This window comes from Homo sapiens, chromosome 6 (assembly GCF_000001405.40).
Source record: "Homo sapiens chromosome 6, GRCh38.p14 Primary Assembly".
Classification (NCBI taxonomy): Eukaryota; Metazoa; Chordata; class Mammalia; order Primates; family Hominidae; genus Homo; species Homo sapiens.
In genome coordinates this window covers 128,919,965-128,943,966 of record NC_000006.12, presented here as the reverse complement: position 1 = coordinate 128,943,966, position 24,002 = coordinate 128,919,965, and the positions used below count along the sequence as shown (strand labels likewise).

The 24,002-nt window shown below is 37.1% G+C and overlaps 1 protein-coding gene and 1 pseudogene across 2 annotated transcripts in view; one reads left to right on the top strand and one right to left on the bottom strand.

Moving 5' to 3' along the window:
* Positions 1 to 24,002, bottom strand: part of LAMA2 (laminin subunit alpha 2) — a 633,429-nt gene that overhangs the window by 572,600 nt on the left and 36,827 nt on the right. The gene's annotated exons all lie outside the window — the stretch shown is intronic.
* Positions 13,751 to 16,211, top strand: MESTP1 (mesoderm specific transcript pseudogene 1; annotated as a pseudogene).

Genomic DNA, 24,002 nt, shown 5'->3' with positions numbered 1-24,002 from the left:
TATCACTCTAACCGATGAAAATCTTTTCAGATCTTGATTCCCTCATACATACATGTACCAAATGAGCTTGCTGCCATAAATACATCTTATAAGTGATCTCTCTAAATCTTTATTAATGAGAATTGCTCCTTCTTAATAAAGTACCTCCTGTCTGAAGGACCTACTATGGTATTCTCACAAAGCAGACATTTTTCTTGTCTTCTTCATCTGTGCCAAATAATTTTGCTGAGTTTTCTTGTACATTATCCATGGGTAGCATTTGATGATTTCTTTTTGATATTATTTCCACTAGTTTTCTCTGATAAGTTAGCAAACGGAAAAAACTTCAAAAAGTCTCATTGTTCCTAGGTCATTTTCAAAAATATATGGACGATGGTCAGGCAAGGTGGCTTACGCCTATAATTTCAGCATATTGAGAAGCCAAGCCAGGAGAATTGCTGGAGGTCCAGGAGTTCAAGATCAGCTTGGGCAACACAGCAAAACCCTGTCTCTTCAAAAAAAAAAAAAGTACAATAACTAACTGGGTGTGGTGGTGAATGCTGGGAGTCCCAGCCACTCAGAAGGCTGAGGCATGAGAATTGCTTGAGTCTGGGAGGTGGAGGCTCCAGTGAGCCATAATTGCACCACAGCACCCCAGCTGGTTAACAGAGCAAGACTGACTCTCTCTCTCTCTCTCTCTCTCTCTCTCTCTCTCTCTGTGTATATATACACACACACTCTCTCTGTGTATTTATATGTGCGTGTATGTATATATACAAACAGAGAGACAGTCTTCTTGTGCGTATGTGTTTATATATATACACACACACACAAGACCACAAAGAAAATAATTGTTAATTCCAAAAAGTAGAAGTTGCCCGAGACATAGTTTTTGATCACACAGAAATAAAACCTATATGTCTTAAAAAATAGCTTATAGCTTATGTGCAAAATAAAGAAGAAAAAGCAATGATTTGAGAGCACATAGAACTGATGACAATGAAAGTCTTATAGAGGACATCTGAGAAAATCTTGCACAGATGGTGCTCTTCCTCACTGAAACTACGATTGGAGCAGTCACACTGCCCACAGGCTCTCAAACAATACCTCAGCTCCCACACTTTTCGGTTACCCCTGCCACCCCAAATGAGCTCCCTTTGGTAAGTACTTAAGGCTGAACTGCAACTGAGGCAGGTACCAATGGAATTGATAACTTCCCAGCATGCTCTACAATCCACAGATTAAATACGTAAGTGATTTTAAAATGTCATCCAAAATAAGACTACATATTAACAATTCCATTAAGACCTACCTTTCTCAGCTAAACTTTTTTTTTTATTCTACAGAAGCATCAACTAGAAGAAAACTGCCATCTCCACTGTACACAACAACAACAAAAATGTTTTAATCTCCATGACAACAGTGTTCAGACCCACATACAAATACTTTTAGAATCTATTTAAATGAGCCAATTCATAGTTTTTAAAAAGTAAATAAAAAGGACACTAATTTATTCAGCATTTCTGGCTTCTGTCCATCTTTTTTTGCTTTTCCTTTTGAGCTCAACTGGAAGAAAGAGATTTCTGTAGTCTTCAATGGGAAGACGAGAAAAATTTCAATAAATATTCACTTAACTACAATAGAACACTTTTTAAAAATGATCTGGTGATGTACTGTTATTTTAAAAGCTCTTGAGTAAAAAACCTCCATTTATAGAGATTTTTTTTTCAAGTTTCTCCTAAAAGAACTCAATAAAAGATAAAAGGGGAAATATAATAGACAGGATGATGGAAAAAACACGAAAGTTATGGCTATGAAAAAAGCTTAATGTCCGAAACAGAGCTTGAATAAGTAGAGCTGTGCAAGTAGAAGTCAAGAGAAGGTCATACTATTTGTGCTTCCGTTGTTTAGTTTGCTTTTACTCATATATCTTGGAATTGTTTTCTGAGCTTGTTTTAATGAGATTGCTTTTTGCTGCTCTTCTGTGGTGGAGCATTTTGAACACAGCTAAATTTAGATAGTGTTATCTAAAGATCCTCTTTTCAAGCTAAGATTAATGCAGGCCAACATTGTCCCCCTGCATCTTCTACCTCTGAACTTCTCAGTGATGGAGGTCTATTATTGAGGTCTCAGTGATGACGTCTAACTGCACGGTGCATTTGAAAAACCACCATCAGTAGATACCAACTCGCTGGGCACAGAGAACGAAATTACTTTGGATCACGTGAGAATATATTTAATGGTGTATCTTGTTAATGAAAATCATCATCATATTTCTCACTTATATATTTACCATCTCCATTATTTTTATTTTTTAGTTCTGAGCACATCTATTTTTTCCAGAATGTCATTTATTTTTTTTGTTTCTGAACCTTGAAAATTGTATTTTAAAAATATTTTTAACTGAATGTAAGAGAAGCAAAGAAGTAGTGAAATACAAAGTTAAATGTCACAGTCAAGGTAATCAAACTAAGTGAGGGTTCATAGAATACTCACTAAAATCATGATTAGTTTATTGAATTAATTGGATTGATTGATTCATTCATTCAACAAACATCCTCCCTATCCCAGATCCATTTTTCAAAAGCCTTCAGATTGACCCTTCTAACACAAACTTTGATTATGTATTTTCCTTTCCAAGAGCCACAGTGAACCTCCCCCACCTCATTCTACTTACTTCTATTTCCCCAGCACCTAACATTATATGGCGGGTAACCAATAGACAATCAGTCAGTGTTTGTTGAATGTTCGAAATAAAGTCATTTAGTGTAAATGCTCCACCTAACTGTGAAGGCTTTCCATTGACTTGCTCCACTCCAGCAAGGCTTATTTTATTTTTTCAACTATTGACCAAAGAATATCCTCTTTTCAGACAAGTTCTTAAAAGCCCCATGCTTATTCCACATCATTGCTCTTAACTTCTTCCTTTATGGAATACATGGTTCTGTACCCCTACAAATGCTATACATCTCTTCTCATTCATAATTAAACTAATATTCTGCTTATTAAAACTTTCTTATTTAAAAAAATTTTGGGGGGGACAGGCTCTTGCTCTGTCACCCAGCCTGGAGCACAGTGGCATGATCTCAGCACGCTGCAGCCTGGAACTCCTGGGCTCATGCAATCCTCCCACTTCAGCCTTTGGAGTAGGTGGGACTACAGGTGTGTACTACCATGCTCAACTAATTTTGTTTCTTTTTTTGTAGAGACAAGGTATTGTGCTACCCAGGCTGGCCTTGAACTTCTGAGCTCAAGCGATTCTCTCACCCTGGTCTCTAGAAATGCTGGGATCACAGGTGTGAGCTACCACGTCCAGCTTTATCAAACCTTTCATTCCATGGCTTTCAGGTCATATTTCAGGATATGGAACTCTTTGTTTCAGTCATTGAAGGTAAACAAAATATTTACCACAAAAATATGATATAATCTTTATTCACTCATGAATGCATTACCCATTTATTCTCTCACTAATATTTATTCCTTCCGACAAATATTTATTAGATGTCTGCAATGTACCAGACAATGTGGAAGCACTAAAGAGGGAAAGATGGTAAGAAAAACAGAAATAGTTTTTGCCCTCTTAAAGCTTATAATAAAGAAGGAAGGGACATGAATCAACTCATTCAATGGGTCAATAATTATAATTGCAATTATACTGAAAACATAGTACCCCTAATAAAGGGATGTGATCTAGTTGTTGGGTGGGGTGTGGTGGTCTAGGGAGACAGTCTGATGAGATTCCCCTAAGGAAGTAATATTTGACTTGCAGTTTGAAAATTCAGTAGGGTAAGTGGAGGTGAGGGAAGTAGTAGGAAGACTCAGTGATGAGGGCTTTTTAAGGCAGTAGAAGGAACAGAACACATTCAGAAAACAAACAAAAAAAAATCCATTATGAACAAAACATAACTTGAAAAACTGAGGCAAAATCATGATGAGCAAGAATGGCAGAACATTTTTGGTCTTTTTTTGTAAAGGAACCATGGTAGACCACTGTAAACTTTTGCATCACATTTGGACCCAAACTTTTGGATCATCATTCTGGATGCCGTGAAGGGATCAGATGGGAGTGGGCAAGAAAGAAGAAAGAAAGTTTTTCTAGAAGGCAATGGTGGGGCTTACTCAGAGCACTCAGGGAGAACCAGGAAAGGCAACTGAATCTGCCTAGGAGAGATTCTTGTTTCTTAGATAATTAGCTTAAGCTAATTATTTTACAAGAAGTATAAATCAGCCAATAAGATAATAAAGAGATGCCTATTCCCGTCTCTACTCAAGCTCCTTGAGCATTTGCTTCTTATTGACTCTCCTATTCCTCTCTGCCATTGAAAATGACCCTACATTTTGGACTCTGCTTACCTACTTGTAACCGCCTATAGGTCTTTCATCGTTGGGTGGAATTCCTGGATATTCAAATCTTTTCTGTCTCCTTTAAAAATATCTGTGCAATTAATCTTTTATTTATAATATTTAACTTTTGTACTATGTGTCAGATACTTTGTTAAGCAAAAAGAAAGTAAATGAATTGGAAGCTGTTGCATTCCTTATGAAACTCCAAGTCAGGTGAAGGTATATATGTTATAAATTCATGCTTTCATTCAACATGTACTTATCAAATGGCTACTATGTATCAAGCATTGGGATGAAAAAAAAAAAGGAAACTCTTGGTCTTGTGGTGCTTTCCTCCAGGATAAACTGTAATACATTATGACAAAGTCTATCATGGACACAAGAACAAAAAATTATTAATATCAGAAGGATGGAAGAGTATCCTTTTTCATGAAAAGGCAACAATTTTGTTGAGTCTTGAAGGATGAAAAGGAGTTTGCCAAGCAAAACTGTGGAGGAAAGCCCTTCTACACTAGGTGATAAACGTGTGAACCTGAGTTGGAATTGAAGAGAAATGAAAAGTTGCAGAACCTTTGATTTTTTGGAAATTCACTCTGGACTTAGGGTAAGCTGAATAACTGTTCCAAATAAGAGAAAGCAAAAAGATGAGTTAGAAGTCAGTAGTGAAAGTCTAAGTGGAAAGTATTGAAATTTTGTCCCTGAAGAGGTAACAACAGTGCAGAAGGAGGGAAATGAGTGAAGTCATTGTTAGGTTTTTGGATCAAGCAGCAGGGATCATTAACTAAGATTAAGACTATCAACATGGAGTAGGTTTGGGAGTCAAGATGATAGAATTCTATCCCTTTTGCTGGCTTCCATTCTTTTGGTCACTCTTAAATGTTGGTACTCCCAGGACCTTCCCTTCATTTCTGATTACAAACTGATGTCTACAATCAAAACCAAGCAAAAATTAACAAAACATAAGTAAGAGAAAGAATACTTCTCCGAAGGACATCCTCTGAGAAGTACATTTTAACATCAAATGCTTTGACCCTTCCCTCATGGGACCTAGGCATTGAATTGATAGTCAACAGGGGAGACAGATGTGGTAAAGTTCAGGTCCTTGTGCTAGATTTAAAAAAATCTTATGTTTGCCTAGCAGCTTCTCTATATACAACTGGTGGCTGAAACTAACTCCTATAACTACGCCGTCTAAAACATCGGACAATAAAAACTTTTTTATAAGGTTGTGGTGAGATCATATAAAATAATTCATGCAAACAGTGTCTAGCACTCTAAGGACCTCATAAAACATTAGTTAATCATAAAAATAATAAATACTGTATGCTGTGAACTATTCTAACTACTTTCTACTGACTATTTCATTTCATCTTCACAATCAGTCAGGGAGGTAGATACTCTCATTATTATTATTAATATCACTGTATTACTCATTTTTACAGATAAGGGGACTGAGGCACTGAGAGTTTAAATGGCTTACCTAAAGCTAAATACCTTGTAAGTGGTGAAGTTGTAATTAGAATACAGGCAGCCTGGCTAAAAAGTCAGAAATATTAATCCCAGCACAGATATATGGAAAGTAAGCAACACACTCCAAAATGACCAATGGGTCAAAGAAGAAATCCAAAGAGAAATCAAAAGTATCTTGAGACAAATGAAAATAACAATACAACACACCAAAACTTCTGGGATGCAGCAAAAGACGTTCTAAGAGAGAAGTTTACATTGATAAATGCCTATATTAAAAAAAAAGATCTAAAATGAACAACTTAACTTTATACCTCAAGGAAATAGGAAAAAAAAAACTAAGACAAAGATAGAAAAGGGAAGGGAATAATACATATTAGAGCATAAATAAATGAAATTGTGACTAGAAAGAGAATAGAAAAGATCAATATAAGTAAGAATTGTTTTTTTAAAGATAAACAAAATTGACAAACCTTCAGCCAAACTAAGAAAAAAGGAATGAGGATTCAACTAAATAAAATTATAAATTAAAGAGGAGACATTGCAACAGAAATAAAAAAGGATCATAGAGACTGCTATGAACAATTATACACCAATAAATACAATAACCTACAAGAAGTTGATAAAGGCTAGACACATAGAATCGACCAAGACTGAATGATGAAGAAATAGAAAATCTGAACAAATTTGGGTAATGAGTACCTGATAATGAGTAAGGAGAATAAATCAGAAAAAAAAATCTCCCAATAAAGAAAAGTTCAAGACCAGACACTTGGAGGGAACACTTCCAATCTCATTATATGAGGTAACTATTATACAATGCTAACCCAGATAAGGACACTACAAATAAAGAAAATTACAGGCCAATATCTCTGAAGAACACAGATATAAAAATCCTCAAAAAAATACTAGCAAATCAAATTCAACGGCATATCAAAAGGAACATTCACCATGATTAAGAGGGATTTATCCTTGGAATAAATGGATAATTCAACATACATGAGTCGATAAATGTGATATAGTATTCTCACTTATGCTTTGTTTCACTTTCCATGGTTTCAGTTACCTGTACTCAATCATGGTCTGAAAATATTAAGTGGAAAATTTCAGAAAAACAATTCATAAGTTTTGAATTGTGCATTTTGAGTAGCAGGATTAAATCTTACACTGTCCTGTTTCCTCCCACCCAGGAGATGAACCATTCCTTTTTCTAGGGTATCCAAACTGTATCACAACCGACCTGTTGGACATTGATATCATATGCACCTGGCATCCAACCATCAACATTGTCATAGCTCAATAATCAAGGGTCGCTCAAAGCAGATGGTCTTCCTTCTGATGCATCATCAGAAAATCAATAATAACCTAACTTTATGTTACAATGCCTATGTCGTTCACCATATTTCATCTAATCATGGTGGCCTTTTATCATCTCACATCATCACAAGGAGAAAGATGAGTATAATACAATAAGATATTTTGAGGGGGAGTGAGAGAGACAACATTCACATAACTCTTATTATAGTAAATTGTTATAATTGCTCTATTGTTGTTAATCTCTTGCTGTGCCTAACATAAATTAAACTTTTTCATAGGTATATACATAGAATAAAAAGCATACTATATGTAGGTGTCAGTACAATCTGCAGTTTCAGACATACTCTGGGGGTCCTGGAATGTATCCCCCATGCATAAAGGGGGACTACTGTATACCACTTTCACAGAATAAAGAATAAAAATCATATTATCATCTCAGATGTAGAAAAAGCATTTGAAAAAATTCAACATCCTGTCATGATAAAAGCTCCCAACAAATTAGGTATAGAAAAATGTATCTGAACATAATAAAGGACATATATGACAAGTCTACAGCTGATGTCATACTGAATAGTGAAAAGTTGAAAGCTTTTCTGAGATTAGGAATAAGATAAGGGTGCTGTATTAGTCGTTTTCACAAGGCTATAAAGAACTGCCCGAAACTGGGTGATTTATAAAGGAAAAAGTTTTAATTGAATCACAGTTCAGCACGGCTGGGGAGACCTCAGGAAGCTTACAACCGTGGCAGAAGGCCAAGGGGAAGCAAGGTACCTTCCTCACAAGGCAGCAGGAAGAAGAAGTGCCAAGCGAAGGGGGAAGAGCCCCTTATAAAACTATCAGAGCTCATGAGAACTCACTCACTATCACAAGAAAAGCATCGGGGAAACTGGCCTCCATGATTCAATTACCTTCATCTGGTTTCCTTTGACATTTGGGGATTATGGGGATGATGAGGGTTACAACTGAAGATGAGATTTGGGTGGGGACATAAAGCCTAACCTTATCAGGTGCCCAGTCTTACCACTCCCAATCAACATAGTACTATGAGTCCTAGTCAGAGCAATTCGGCAAGAAAAAGATATAACATTCATCTAAATTGGAAAGGAAGAAGGTAAATTGTCTCTGTTTGCAGATGACATGATCTTATATGAAGGAAACCCTAAACTCCATCTAAAGTGCTATTAGAAGCTAATAAAGAAATTCAATAAAGTTGCAGGATATGAAATCAACATATGAAAATCAGTCGTGCATCTATATTAACAACAAATTATCCAAAAAAGAATTAAGTACCCAAAGGATTATAAATCATGCTACTATAAAGACACATGTACATGTATGTTTACTGCAGCACTATTCACAATAGCAAAGACTTGGAACCAACCCAAATGTCCATCAATAATAGACTGGATAAAGAAAATGTGGCACATATACACCATGGAATACTACAGAGTCATAAAAAAGATGAGTTTATGTCCTTTGCAGGGACATGGATGAAGCTGGAAACCAACATTCTCAGCAAAATATCACAAGGACAGAAAACCAAACAGTGTGTGTTCTCACTCATAAGTGGGAGTTGAACAATGAGAACACATGGACACAGGGAGGGGAACATTACACATTGGGGTCTGTTGGGGGGGGTGTGGGGCTGGGGGAGGGATAGCATTAGGATAAATACCTAATGTAAATGATGAGTTGACGGGTGCGGCAAACCAACATGGCACATGTATACCTATGTAACAAACCTGCACATTGTGCACAAGTACCCTAGAACTCAAAGTATAATAATAATAAGAAACCAAAGCAATAGCGTCAAAAATAATGAAATATATACGAATAAATTTAACCAAGGAGGTGAAAGATCTGTACACTGAAAACTATAAGACATTGAAGAAAGAAATGGAAGACAACACAAATAAATGGAAAGACTTTCTGTGTTCATGAATTGGAAGAACTAATATTGTTAAAATGTCCACATTACCCAAAATGATCTACAGAGTCAATGCAGTCACTCAACATTTCAATGGCAATTTTTTAGAAAATGTAGAAAAAATGGCCGGGTGTAGTGGCTTATGCCTGTAATCCCAGCACTTTGGGAGGCTGAGGTGGGCAGATTACCTGAGGTCAGGAGTTTGAGACCAGCCTGTCCAACATAGCAAAACCCCATCTCTACTAAGAAATACAAAAAATAAAATTGGCTGGGCATGGTGGTGTGCACCTGTAATCTCAGCTACTCAGGAGGCTGAGGCAGGAGAATCACTTGAACCCAGGAGACGGAGGTTGCAGTGAGCTGAGATTGCACCATTGCACTCCACCTTGAGCGAAAAGAGGGAAATTCCACCTCAGAAAAAAAAGAAAGAAAAAAAGAAAGAAAATGTAGAAAAAACAGTTCTAAAAAAAAGAATAAGAATTTTAATAATTAAAATTCATATGAAATCACAAATGACCCAAAATATCCAAAGCAATCTTAAGAAAGAAGGACAAAGCCAGAAGCACCATGGGTCCTGATTTCAAACTATATACAAAGCCATGGTAATCAAAACAGTGTGATAGTGCTATAAAAACAGACATATAGACCAATGAAACGGAATAGCCCAGAAATAAACCCACAAATATATGGCCAACTAATCTTTGACTAGGCCATTAAAACTACACAATGGGGAACAAATAGTCTTTTCAATAAACTGTATTGGGGAAACTAGATATCCACATGCAAAAGAATGATTTTGGATGTTTATCTTATTCCATATACAAAAATCAACTGAAAATGGATTCAAGACTGAAATGTATGACCTGAAACCATAAAGCTTCTAAAATAAATATAAAGAAAAGGCTCCTTGCCATCAGTCTTGGTCATGATTTTTGGGGTACGACACCCGAAGCACAGGCAATGAAAGCAAAAACAAAGAAGTGTAACTGCAGCAAACTAAAAACTTCTACAGCAGAGGATACAATCAACAAAATAAAAAGGCAAGTTGTGGTATGGGATAATATATTGGCAAACCATATATATGATCAGGAGTTAATATTCAAAATATATAAGGAATTCATACAACTCAATAGCAAGAAAACACAAAATAAGCCAATTTCAAAATGGACAAAGGACCTAAACATATCTAAAAAATAGACATGTTTCCAAAAAGAGACATACAAATGGCCAACAGGTATATTAAAAAGTGTTCAACATCATTAATCATCAGGGAAATACAAATCAAAACCACAGTGAGATATCACCTCATACCTATTAGCATGGCTATTATATAAAAGACAAAAGATAACACATGTTGGTGAGGAAACAGAGAAAAAGAAACCCTTCTACACTTTTGGTGGGAATGTAAATAGGCATAGCCACTATGGAAAACAGCATTAAGCATAGAGATTCTTCCAAAAATGAAAATAGTACTACAATATGACCCAGCAATCCCATTTCTAGCTATATATTTTAAAAGGTGATATCAGTATCTCAAGGAGATATCTGCATCCACATGTTCATAGCAGCATCATTCACAACAGTCAAGATAAATAAATGGCCTAAGTATCCATCAGTGAATGAATGGATAAAGTAAATATAGTATACACACATACACAGACACACAGACACACACACACACACACACACACACACACACACAGAAAGAGAGGGAGAGAGGGAGATAGAGGAATATTATTCAGCCATAAAAGAGAAGGAAATCCTGCTATTTGCAATGACATGGATAAGCCTGAAGGGCATTGTGCTAGGTGAGATAAGCCACACATAGAAAAACAAATACAGTATGATCTCACTCACATGTGGAATCTAAAAAGTTGAACTCATAGAAGCAGAGAGTAGAATGGTGGAATGAATGGTGGTTGCCAGGAATTGGGGTAAATGAGAGGTTTGGGTCAAAGGGTACACAGTTTCAGTTATAAGATGAATAAGTTCTAGGGATCTAATGTACAGAATAGTAACTATAGTTAATAATATTGTACTGTTTATTTGGAATTTTCCAAACACAGATCTTAAATGTCCTCCATGCATAAACAAACACGCACACACAAAGTGATAACTATGTGAGGTGATACACGTATTAATTAATTTGGTTGTGGTAATCATTTCACAATGTATATGTATATTAAATCGTCATGCATATCTAGAATATACACAATTTTTAATTGTCAATTATACCTCTATAAATCTAGAAAAAATAGAAATCTTAACTCCAGGACTAGATATGTTCTTTCCTGATCCTACAGGTGGTCACCTAGAGCTCACCCTCTCATGTCTGGCCTTCCTAAGGACCATTTTCCTATACTATTCATGTTCCATATCAATTTCTCCTTTTTTTTAGGGTGTACAGTGAAACTTAGAACTTAATCATTTGCTCTGTTACGCTTCTCTGTAATATATGTAAGTCTTGTCTTGAGCATAAACTCTTCAGGCTGGAATTATATCCCATATCTGGCATTCTGTTTGGTAACAGTTTAAGGTCTGGGTATCAGTAAGCTTTCAGTAAACACTTGTTGAGTGATTGATTCTGAGGCTCTAATGCGTCACTAGTGGAAGAAACTACTGGAGAGATTTGCACAAGGCCCAGTCACTCCTACTGAAGATTTCTTATTAGCAAAAGTGCAGTCAATGACCCAGAGCTCCACTTGTGAGAATATTGCTGCAGGGCAATATTCTCCTCACAACAGAGGAGACATAGCCCTTGCAATGTGTGATGAAGAATGACTCAGTCTTGTTCTCTTGACTGTTGCTGTGAAGATTACATTTACAGTAAAAATAGGGGCATATTTTAATATTATTTTGTAGAATAAAAAGTTGTGAGAGGTTTTTTTCCTTTTATTATTCAAGGCTAGGATAATGTCAAAGAATATTTATGGACTTTGATACATATACAGCAAAGAAGGATTGGTGCTTTTAAAGCAGTTGGAGAAAAATATAATGAACAATCATTACATTTAAAACAAAATAATGGAGTTAAATTAAAAGAATAAGAACAGATTTTACAATAACAGTCCCCGTGGAAAGTAAGAGTTTAAAAGTAACAATTCTGTAATGTAATTTTTATTTGTTTAAATTGTTTAAAAACTGAAGTCAAAACTGAAGCCACAAAGAAATGCTTGAAAGCTAAATAAAATTAGTCAGAGAAAAGAGTAAAAGTGGATCTTAGAAAAAATAATTTTTAATAAGATTATTTGAAAGACTATGACTAGACATGTTCTTGCCTGATCCCACAAGCTGTGACCCAGAGTTCACCCTTTGATATGTACTATTCTCCTGTACCATTCATGTCCTGTAAGGATTTCTCCTTTTCTCAGTTCATTTCTCAGATATTTATGTTTTTTAACTTAATAACTATTTTATTGGCAACATTTGCCTCGTTGTGATTTCTGAAGAAAAAAACGGTAGTTTTAAAATAAAATGCAACCTTAATTTCATTCGTTCATTCATTCATTCATTCATTCAGATATTCAACATTAAGATATTTGCTAGGCATTATGCAAAAGAATTTTCAATAATATGGAAGTGAAAGAAGACCATTTATTGCCTGAAAAGTGCTAGAAATGGCCACTGCAAAGTGTGATAAGAACTACAATAAAGACTCAAAATCATTTGGGAATTCATTTATTTAGTTATTTTTTAAACAATTTCACAGAACTTTTACCTGTATCCTTTATGATAAATTTCTTTTGTTTGAAGAATTTATGAATACCTTGTAAGCTATAGAGACAGGTTAGTTATATTTAAGACAAAAATGGTCCAATTGCTAAAATCTGGCTTACTTATAAGTAATTGCCATTCTTTGTTCCTTTGGGAGGAAGGTGTTTCTTGTCCCTTTTTTTTTGCAGAGATCCAGAAAAAGCCTCATAGAGATACTGGCATTTGAACTGTTACTTAAGAATAGGTAGCACTTAGACAGGACTAGCAGAGAGCATCTTAGAATCATAGGAACAGAAAAGCGAACGTGTTAGAAAGTGTGTGTGTACACGTAGGGAAACCGTGGGTGTTTTAAAAGGAAGTTGAGATGCACACTGTGATGGTCTTGAAAGCCAGTGAAGATAACAGGGAAATATTCAAAGATTTTCATAAGGAATTTATATAATTAGAGTTCTATTTCAGAAAGATTAATATGATAGTGATGTAGAATAATCGGAGGGAGAAGAGACTTTGAGTAGAAAAATCAGTTAAGGGATCATATCAGTCAGGACAGGCTAGGATGCTGTATAACTGCAGACTCCAAAGTCTCTGTGGATTAAACTAACAAAGATAGCAAGGACGTGTATTTCTTGCTCCTGCTCCGTGTACATTTTGGGCCCATGTGTGAAGGGTGGGGGGAACTGATCTATATATTCTACACTCAGGCATCCATCTGGAAGATCATCTGTCTCTATAGCATGGCGAATTATGCACTGGCTTGTAAAACTCGTATTCAATCTAAGAGTAAAGCATGTCAGTTCTGTTCACATTTCATTGACGGTGTCTATGCCTAATTTCAGGGGTGAGCAAATGTAATCCTACTATATGCCCAAAAGGAGAATAACTGCAATATCTATGAATATTTCAGTCACCTCAAGAGGCGGTTGCAATAGTTCAGTCAATGAGGGTGTAAGCAGTAGGAATGAAAAGAAATAGGAAAATATAAGAAATACTTTAGAAATAGAGGCCACGGCAACCAGCACACCCGGGCACTTCCCTTGTGGCAGTCGCGCCTAGCAAACGCAGTGCCGCCGTGCACGTCAGAGTGGCTGTAGCTGCCGGGCGCGGCGCCGCCCTGTGCGGGCTGTGGGCTGCTGATTGAGACCCCGCTGCCGGCCGGCCCTGCAGGGCTGCGGGCGCCACGGCGCCCCGTGCTCTGCAACGCCGAGGCTGGCAGCGTGGGATAACGCCGCCGTGCGCAAAGATCGCCTCCGCAGGATGAGGGAGTGGTGGGTCCAGGTGGGGCTGTGGGCCGCGCTCCTGCTTGCTGCGTACCTGCACATCCCATACACTCAGCTGTCACCTGATCTTCACTCGTGGAAGTCTTCAGGCAAGTTTTTCACTTACAAGGGACTGCGTATCTTCTACCAAGACTCTGTGGGTGTGGTTGGAAGTCAGGAGACAGTTGTGGTTTTACACGTTTTCCAATATCCAGCTACGATTGGTACAAGAATTGGGAAGGTCTGACCTTGAGGTTTCATCGGGTGATTGCCCTTGATTTCTTGGCGTTGGCTTCAGTGACAAACCGAGACCGCATCACTATTCCATATTTGAGCAGGTCAGCATCGTGGAAGCGCTTTTGCGGCATCTGGGGCTCCAGAACTGCAGGATCAAGTCTCATGACTATGGAGATAATTGTCGCTCAGGAGTTTCTCTACAGGTACAAGCAGAATCGATCTGGTCGGCATACCATAAAGAGTCTGTCTGTCAAATGGAGGTATCTTTCCTGAGACTCACCGTCCACTCCTTCTCCAAAAGCTACTCAAAGATGGAGGTGTGCTATCACTCATCCTCACATGACTGATGAACTTCTTTGTATTCTCTCGAGGTCTCACCCCAGTCTTTGGGCCGTGTACTTGGCTCTGTGAGAGTGAGCTGTGGGACATGTGGGCAGGGATCCGCATCAATGACGGGAACTTAGCCATTGACGGTCTCTTACAGTACATCAATCAGAGGAAGAAGCTCAGAAGGCGCTGGGTGGGAGCTCTTGCCTCTGTAACTATCCCCATTCATTTTATCTACCGGCCATTGGATCCTGTAAATCCCTATCCAGAGTTTTTGGATCTGTACGGGAAAACGCTGCTGCGGTCCACAGTGTGGATTCTGGATGACCACATTAGCCACTATCCACAGCTAGAGGATACCATTGGCTTCTTGAATGCATATATGGGCTTCATCTAACTCCTTCTGCTCCTTCTGAGCTGGAATGAGTAGCTTCCCTGTATTACCTCCTCTACTCCCTTATCTGTTGTGTATTCCACTTAGGAAGAAATGCCCAAAAGAGGTCCTGGCCATCAAACACTATTCTCTCACAAAGTCCACTTTACTCAAATTGGTGAACAGTGTATACAAAGAAGCCAGCAGGAGCTCTGACTAAGGTTGACATAATAGTCCACCTCCCATTACTTTGACAACTGATCAAATGTATGGACTTGGCTTTGTTTTTGTGTTATTAGAAAATTCTGATGAGCATTACTATTCACTGATTCAGAAAGACGTTCTTTTGCATAAAAGACTTTTTAACACTTTGGACTTCTCTGAAATACTTAGAAGTGCTCATTTCTGGCACAGCCCCAATAGGAATTCTATCGTAAGAATAAGGAGAAGGGGACCTCCTTCCCTCTCCTTGAACGGCTTTATGGGCACATGCTTTTTAAAGTTCTTTAAGCAACATAGAGCTGAGTCGTCTTTGTCATACCTTTGGATTTAGTTTCATCAGCTGTTTTTATTTATAAACATTTTGTTGAAATAGATATTGGTTTAAATAATATAGTATTCTAAGTATGATTTAAGACTATGATTTACCTACTCATTATATATATATTATAAAGATACTAAACCAGCATACCCTTACTCTGCCAGAGCAGTGAACCTAATTAAACATGTTTGATTTCTGAATAAATTAAACTAAATCCAAACTATTTCCTAAAATCACAGGACATTAAGGACCAATAGCATCTGTGCCAGAGATTTACTGTTATTAGATGGGGAGACCAATTCTAACAGCAAATAACAGTCTGAGACTTCTCATACCTCTGTGCTTAGAAGCATGTCTCTCTTGAGCTACCGTAGAGGAGAAGGAATTGTTGTGTAGTCCAAGTCACTATGCTGAATGTACATTGATTCCTTTATGATGACTGCTTAACTCCCCATTGCCTGTCCCAGAGAGGCTTTCCAGTGTAGCTCAGTATTTCCTGTACTTTACAGAGAGGAAAGTTCCAGAAACTTTAAGAACAAATTCTGAAAGACCTATAAGCAAATGGTGCTGATTACTTTTTTTAAAGCCACATTTCATTGTCTTAGTCAAAGAAGGATTATTAAGTGATTATTTAAAATTCATTTTTTAAAATTAGCAACTTCAATTATAACAACTTTGAAACTGGAATAAGTGTTTATTTTCTATTAATAATAATTAATTGTGACAAAAAACGAAATAGAATCAAGACCTTGCTCACTGATATAGTAACGGGAAGAAAGATAGGGATCTAGTAGGAATCTAATGGTTTACACCTGGAAGACTGATGGGACCCTCAGCAGAAATTTGGAAACAGGAGGAAAATAACTTGATGGAGGTGGGTGAGGACTGTGGAAAGAATGGGATACTTCAGAGGGAGAATGTTTAGCTGTTAAGTTTAAGCCACGTTAAGTTGTACGTTCTGGAAGGAATATGCGAATAAGGATATCCAAAGGAGATAGAAAGTTAGAGACGGAGCTTACTCACAGAAGAGGTCACTAACATAGAAGTAATATTTAAATCTGTGTGCCTAGATGAGACTGAAAAATTTCTTGAAGTCCATTTAATAGGTCAAAACCAGTATTTAAAAAAGAATATAAAATAGAAATATTGGAGTACACTGAATGTAAAATGTCTAAGTATTTAAGACATCTCATGACATTTTTGTTATGTGTGTGTTAGAAAGAGAGATATTCTCCAATTTAAGTGCATTTGTTATCAAGAAAAGAGTTTGAAGGCCACTGTTCTAGAGGAATGAGAAGAGAGGAGGGAGAGTGGTGTGTTGACCAGGAAATGCTTTAGCCATTTTATCAGTTAAAGACAAATATCAGCTATGGATACCATTTCACACTTCATTTCAGTAGCCATCGATCATTCTCAGTCCTTTAGAATCCACCAGATCTCTATGTTCTGCAGCTCTCAGCTTCACTGTTTTGTGCTTGCTCGATGGTTTATACCCAAAACTATACCTTAGAGGATGAATGTATTCAAACTGGATGTCAACCTTAATAAGATTCAGCATACACCTACTTTATTCTCTATTTCATCTTTGTTAGCAGAGCTGAAGTGTACTGGAATTTGTTTCACAATGTTACCAATAATACTACAACGTTATATCTGATGAATACTAAAACATCTTTTCAACTCTGAGCTTTAACACTACATTAGATATTCCTAATTGGAAAAGTGGTCTTTATTTCAAAAGGGCTGAGGAGAAAGGTCAGATTTCCTGAATTTATCTCAGAAGGAGGATTACCAATATTAAAAAGGAGCACAAATATTCAAAATGTGGTCTATGGTGTCTTCCATTAACCAAGACATAATATTAGTATTAAATAATAGTTAGCTGTGGAATATTTAACTGTTATTCTGGATTTTTATATGTTGCCAAAGAGACAGAACACTTGAGCTGTCAGCAGTTTGAGAGCCTACTAAAGCATTAGAGTTTTAAAAATTTCCTTTCCAACTCTTCATCTTGGGTTCACTTTAAATATTGAGAACAAATCAGATTGTTATTAAAGAATTATACATATCTGAGTTACCTCTGGGGATTATAAATTTGGGATATGATATGTTCTGATCCTTGAAGCGGTAAAATGACCATATCTAAAGAACAGAGGCCTAAACGAGAGGAGTTGGTATTCATACTCTAACCTCTATTGCCACCATGACCAAAGAGTTTTTTTTTAAAAGAAGTCAAGAACAGACTCAAAACTCAGAAAACTCAGAGTTGTGGAAAGATGCAATTTCACCTTTGAAAGCCAACACTCTACCTCCCCATGTAGGTGATAAAAAGAAAAAGAAAAAAGGCACACAACTTTCAAATAGAATGGAAAATTTTAGGCAAAGAAATATGGAAATGTTAGAAGTAATATGTAGAAATCCTAGATCTGGTGAAACATTCTCATGAATATTTCATGAGAATAGAATGGCTCATTGGTAAAGGACCAATGGAGAGTCCCAGTCCAGTGGAGACAGAACCACAAAGAATGTGGCAGAGAAGAGAATAAAATGGCCTATTCAGTTTAGGCCCAGGAAGTTTCCCTGCTCCGTTTCTCATGGCAAGACTGAGACATTGTTGAACATGCAGAACAAGATATGCATTAAGATAGCATTTATGTGAAAAAAAAATGAATCAAAGAATAAACCATATATTGCTATGTGAGAATTTGTGTCTATGTAAACGCAGAACTAAAGAATAAAGACATTGGTTTTCTCTGTATAGAGCACTGGGAGTGAGGATGTTACTTTTGAATTATTTTAAAGTATTGTAAAATACACATAACATAAAATTCATCATTGTAACCATTTTTAAGTATACAGTTCAGTAGTATTAGTACCTTCACATTGTTGTGCAACCATCAACACCATTCACATCCAGAATGCTTTTCATCTTGCAAAACTGAAACTCGGTACTCATTAAATAATAACTCCCTATTCCTCTCTCCCTGCAGCCGCTAGTAATCACCATTATACTTTCTGTCTCTATGATTCTGACTACTCTAGGTAAGTAGAATCATAACAGCATTTGTCTTTTTGTGACTGGTATATTTCACTTAGCAGAATGTCCTCAAGGTCCATTCATATGGTAGCATGTGTCAGAATTTCCTCTCTTTTACAGACGGAATAATGTTCCATCGTATACATGCACAACATTTTATTTATCTATTCGTCTGTCAACAGCCAGGTTTCTCCCACCTTTTGGCCATTGTAAATAATGCTACTATGACAGAGATGTATAAATATCTTTTCAGGACCCTGCTTTTAATTATTTGGGGCATATTCCCAGAAGTGGAATTGTTGGATCCTATTGTAATTCTATTTGTAATGTTTTGAGGACCCTCCATACTGTTTTCCATGATTGTCACACCATTTTATATTCCCATCAACAATGCATAAGGCTTCTAATTCCTTCACATCCTCACCAATTTCTACCTTCCATTTTTAAAATTATGGCAGCCATCCTAATGGGTATAAAGCTTCCTTTGAATTTTTTACAACCGAAATATATTCACATACTATTTTTTAAACACTTAAAATATCTCAACAATATGGTGTGAAACTTAAGCATGTATATTCTGTAAAAGGCTTGTTGATGTTATTTCTGGTTAAATAATTCTCTTCTCTAAAAGAAGACGTAATTGTGTAAAAAATAATTGCAACATGATTGATGAGAAGGGGTGGTTGGCCTACAGTGGAGTCAAATAGAGCATCCACATGCTGGGAAATAACCCCTCTGCATGAGCAGGACCTACAAATCCAGCAGGGAAGACGGGGGGCACCCTAGCTACCTGTACATTGAGCTTTTATTAATATCTAAGAGGGGAGTATAAATTTTTCATATGAGGGATTAAGAAGGATGTTAAAAAAGCTTTAGTTTATTATACAGGGGATTTTTTTTTTCCTGGGATATATTTTCTTGAATTATTAACTGATAATTTAATTGATACTCAAAACAATCAAAATGGCAGGTTGTTTCCTTTACTCTATAAACTTACCTGGAAAATTTCTCCTCCTCTTCCTTCTCTTCCTCTTTCTCCTTTATGAGCAGTTGAATGGTATTAGAATTGAACACTAATAAATGTTTAAATAGGAATGATTTTGGATGGAAAAGAGTTTTATGTTGTTAGCAGTCAGTAGTTCTGGTAAGGACAAATATAACACCATGTTAATGGAAAGACTTGGGTAATAGCTATGTATACATACATCACACATAAATACATATGTGTGTGTGTGTATATATATATGAAAAGAAGCTTGTAAAAATTATAGCAGGGATAAAATATCAAATTAAGGGAGCAGCTAGAATCTTTGAGAGCATAGTATGATTTTAATAGATTTAGGAGGATATTTCTTCTGCCATTATATGTAAGCAGAGATAGTAGCTCTCAAAAAATATTCTTGTGTTCCCTACACTTCTCAGCCCCTTGCAGTTAAGAGGGGCATCTGACTATTCTTAGATTGTAAAAATGTGGAGCAGAGTCATGACTATGACTTCCTAGCTGAAGCACTGAAGACCTAGGTGCCAGCTCCCCACTCCTCTCTTCCTCTGCCATAGCAACCATAAAAGGCATTTCCTGAGTTGGAAACATCATAAGCGGAGGACAACTGGGACCCTGAGTCACCAGATGGACCTGTATTTGTCATTGCATCATTGAGAAATAAACCTCTATAATGCTAAGATTTTAAGATTTGGGGGTTTATTCATTCCTGCAGCATGGCTTAGCATCAATCAGACTACTACAGCAGATTAGTGATTGAGTAATTGTGTTCTTATAGGAATTAGCAGTGATATTGAGAACAGTGGGAAAAAAATTATTATTCCTCTGATCATTCTACTATCTATATCTTCATCCTTTCTGTATTAAATATATTGGATATACTATCCCCTTTTAATATAGTTATATTTGTTTCCTAATTTAGGTATCTTAGTTTTCTAGGACTGCCATAATAAATGACCACAAACTAGGTGGCTTAAAACAACAGACATTCTAAAATACCTAGGAATCCAACTTACAAGGGATGTGAAGGACCTCTTCAAGGAGAACTACAAACCACTGCTCAAGGAAATAAAAGAGGATACAAACAAATGGAAGAACATTCCATGCTCATGGGTAGGAAGAATCAATATCGTGAAAATGGCCATACTGCCCAAGGTAATTTACAGATTCAATGCCATTCCCATCAAGCTACCAATGACTTTCTTCACAGAGTTGGAAAAAACTACTTTAAAGTTCATATGGAACCAAAAAAGAGCCCGCATCGCCAAGTCAATCCTAAGCCAAAAGAACAAAGCTGGAGGCATCACACTACCTGACTTCAAACTATACTACAAGGCTACAGTAACCAAAACAGCATGGTACTGGTACCAAAACAGAGATATAGATCAATGGAACAGAACAGAGCCCTCAGAAATAATGCCGCATATCTACAACTATCTGATCTTTGACAAACCTGAGAAAAACAAGCAATGCGGAAAGGATTCCCTATTTAATAAATGGTGCTGGGAAAACTGGCTAGCCATATGTAGAAAGCTGAAACTGGATCCCTTCCTTACACCTTATACAAAAATCAATTCAAGATGGATTAAAGAATTAAACGTTAGACCTAAAACCATAAAAACACTAGAAGAAAACCTAGGCATTACCATTCAGGACATAGGCATGGGCAAAGACTTCATGTCTAAAACACCAAAAGCAATGGCAACAAAAGCCAAAATGGACAAATGGGATCTAATTAAACTAAAGAGCTTCTGCACAGCAAAAGAAACTACCAGCAGAGTGAACAGGCAACCGACAAAATGGGAGAAAATTTTCGCAACCTGCTCATCTGACAAAGGGCTAATATCCAGAATCTACAATGAACTCAAACAAATTTACAAGAAAAAAACAAACAACCCCATCAACAAGTGGGCGAAGGACATGAACAGACACTTCTCAAAAGAAGACATTTATGCAGCCAAAAGACACATGAAAAAATGCTCACCATCACTGGCCATCAGAGAAATGCAAATCAAAACCACAATGAGATACCATCTCACACCAGTTAGAATGGCAATCATTAAAAAGTCAGGAAACAACAGGGGCTGGAGAGGATGTGGAGAAATAGGAACACTTTTACACTGTTGGTGGGACTGTAAACTAGTTCAACCATTGTGGAAGTCAGTGTGGCGATTCCTCAGGGATCTAGAACTAGAAATACCATTTGACCCAGCCATCCCATTACTGGGTATATACCCAAAGGACTATAAATCATGCTGCTATAAAGACACATACACAGGTATGTTTATTGTGGCATTTTTCACAATAGCAAAGACTTGGAACCAACCCAAATGTCCAACAAAGATAGACTAGATTAAGAAAATGTGGCACATATACACCATGGAATACTATGCAGCCATAAAAAATGATGAGTTCATGTGCTTTGTAGGGCCATGGATGAAACTGGAAATCATCATTCTCAGTAAACTATCACAAGGACAAAAAACCAAACACCGCATATTCTCACTCATAGGTGGGAATTGAACAATGAGAACACATGGACACAGGAAGGGGAACATCACACTCTGGGGACTGTTGTGGGGTGGGGGGAGGGGGAAGGGATAGCATTGGGAGATATACCTAATGCTAGATGACGAGTTAGTGGGTGCAGCGCACAAGCATGACACATGTATACATATGTAACTAATCGGCACATTGTGCACATGTACCCTAAAACTTAAAGTATAATAATAATAAAAAAAAAAAAAAAACAGACATTCATTTCACAGTTCAGGAGGCTGTAACTCTGAAACCAAAATGTCAGCCTAGTTGGTTCCTTCTAGACACAGTAAGAAAAAATGTCCATGCTTCTTTCCTTGGCATTGCTTGGCTTGTGGATGCACCACTCCCATCTCTGCCTCCATCTTTACACAGCTTTCTCCCTGTATTTCTGTATCTCCTCCCCTCTTCTATGATACCAGTCATATTGGATCAGGGTCCACCCTAAACCAGTATGACATCACCTTAACTTAATTATATTTGCAAAGACCCTATTTGCAAATAAGGTCACATTCATAGTTACCTGGGGTTAAGACTTCAACATTTCTTTTTGAAGGATGCAATTCAACCTACAAAAATAGCTTAGAAATGATATGCCACTTCAGCTTCCCACTTTCATCTTCTGGAAGTAAATCTTATAAAATGGATTTAAACAACCCTTACTTTTAGTCATCATTTTAGAAATTGTTTTGTTTTTGTTTAACATAACTTACCAACTTTTAAAAAAGGAGAGATAATCTTAGTCCAATACTTACTCAAATTTAAACGTAATTCCTATCTATACTTATACTGAAAATTATGTTACTATATGAGATGTTCTGATAAGTTTGTACATTGCAGGCAAGATACGCGTTTCAGGCTTTTTAAGTGCCCCTGCTAAGATAAGTGCAAGCAATAGTGCAAAGACAGGATCGATGATCAGAAATGGAATGTAGTTGTCCATCCAAATTGTCAGTTCAAAGCCTCTTACTTGTTTTCTATGTGTTCCTTTCTTGATATTCAATAATCAGCCCTTTTCTGGTCTCTCTTTCTTTTCTTCTCCCTTGCTATAGTGCTTCATACTCTCAACATCCCTTTCTCAACATAAAAAGTCAAGAGCAGATGTCAAAGTCCAAAAGCAACCTAAAGTTGTATTTTGTCTCATGAATTTGTTCAACATGTGCACACACATACTCTCATATACATGTGTGCATATATATGCATATATATACACACATGTATATATAATATATATATATATGTAATGTCTGTATAACAAATACTTATAAGGCCCTAGAGAAACAATGGTACATGCTAAAAGGAAGCACATAAACTAGGATATAAACATGGTTAATTGGGAAAAGGGTTTGATTAGGGGAAGAATAGAGCCAATATGGGTACAGAAATAGGAAAATTCAAACTAGTCTAGAGGTCAGAAAGTGCTTCTTGGAGAAACTATAAAAATGGAGCATGAGGGACCGGCACGGTGGCTCACGCCTGTAATCCCAGCACTTTGGGAGCCTGAGGCGGGCGAATTGCGAGGTCGAGAGATCGAGACCAACATGGCCAACATGGTGAAATCCTGTCTCTACTAAAAATACAAAAATTAGCTGGGCGTGGTGGCACACGCCTGTAGTCCCAGCTACTCTAGAGGCTGAGGAAGGAGAATCGCTTGAACCCGGGAGGTGGAGGTTGCAGTGAGCTGAGATCGCAGCACTGCACTCCAGCCTGGGTGACAGAGCAGGACTCCGTCAAAAAAAAAAAAAAGAAAAGAAAAATGAGCATGAAAATTGGTATGCATTAGTCAGGTTAACAGAGAGATATTTTAGGCAGTGACAACATTATGGGCACAGGCTTTGAACTGAAAGAGACAGTGATATATTCCATAAATCCAAAGGAATTCAGAATGGATACAGCTCATTTTTATGATTTAAAAAGTGGTGAGAGATGAGGCTGGAGAGAACTG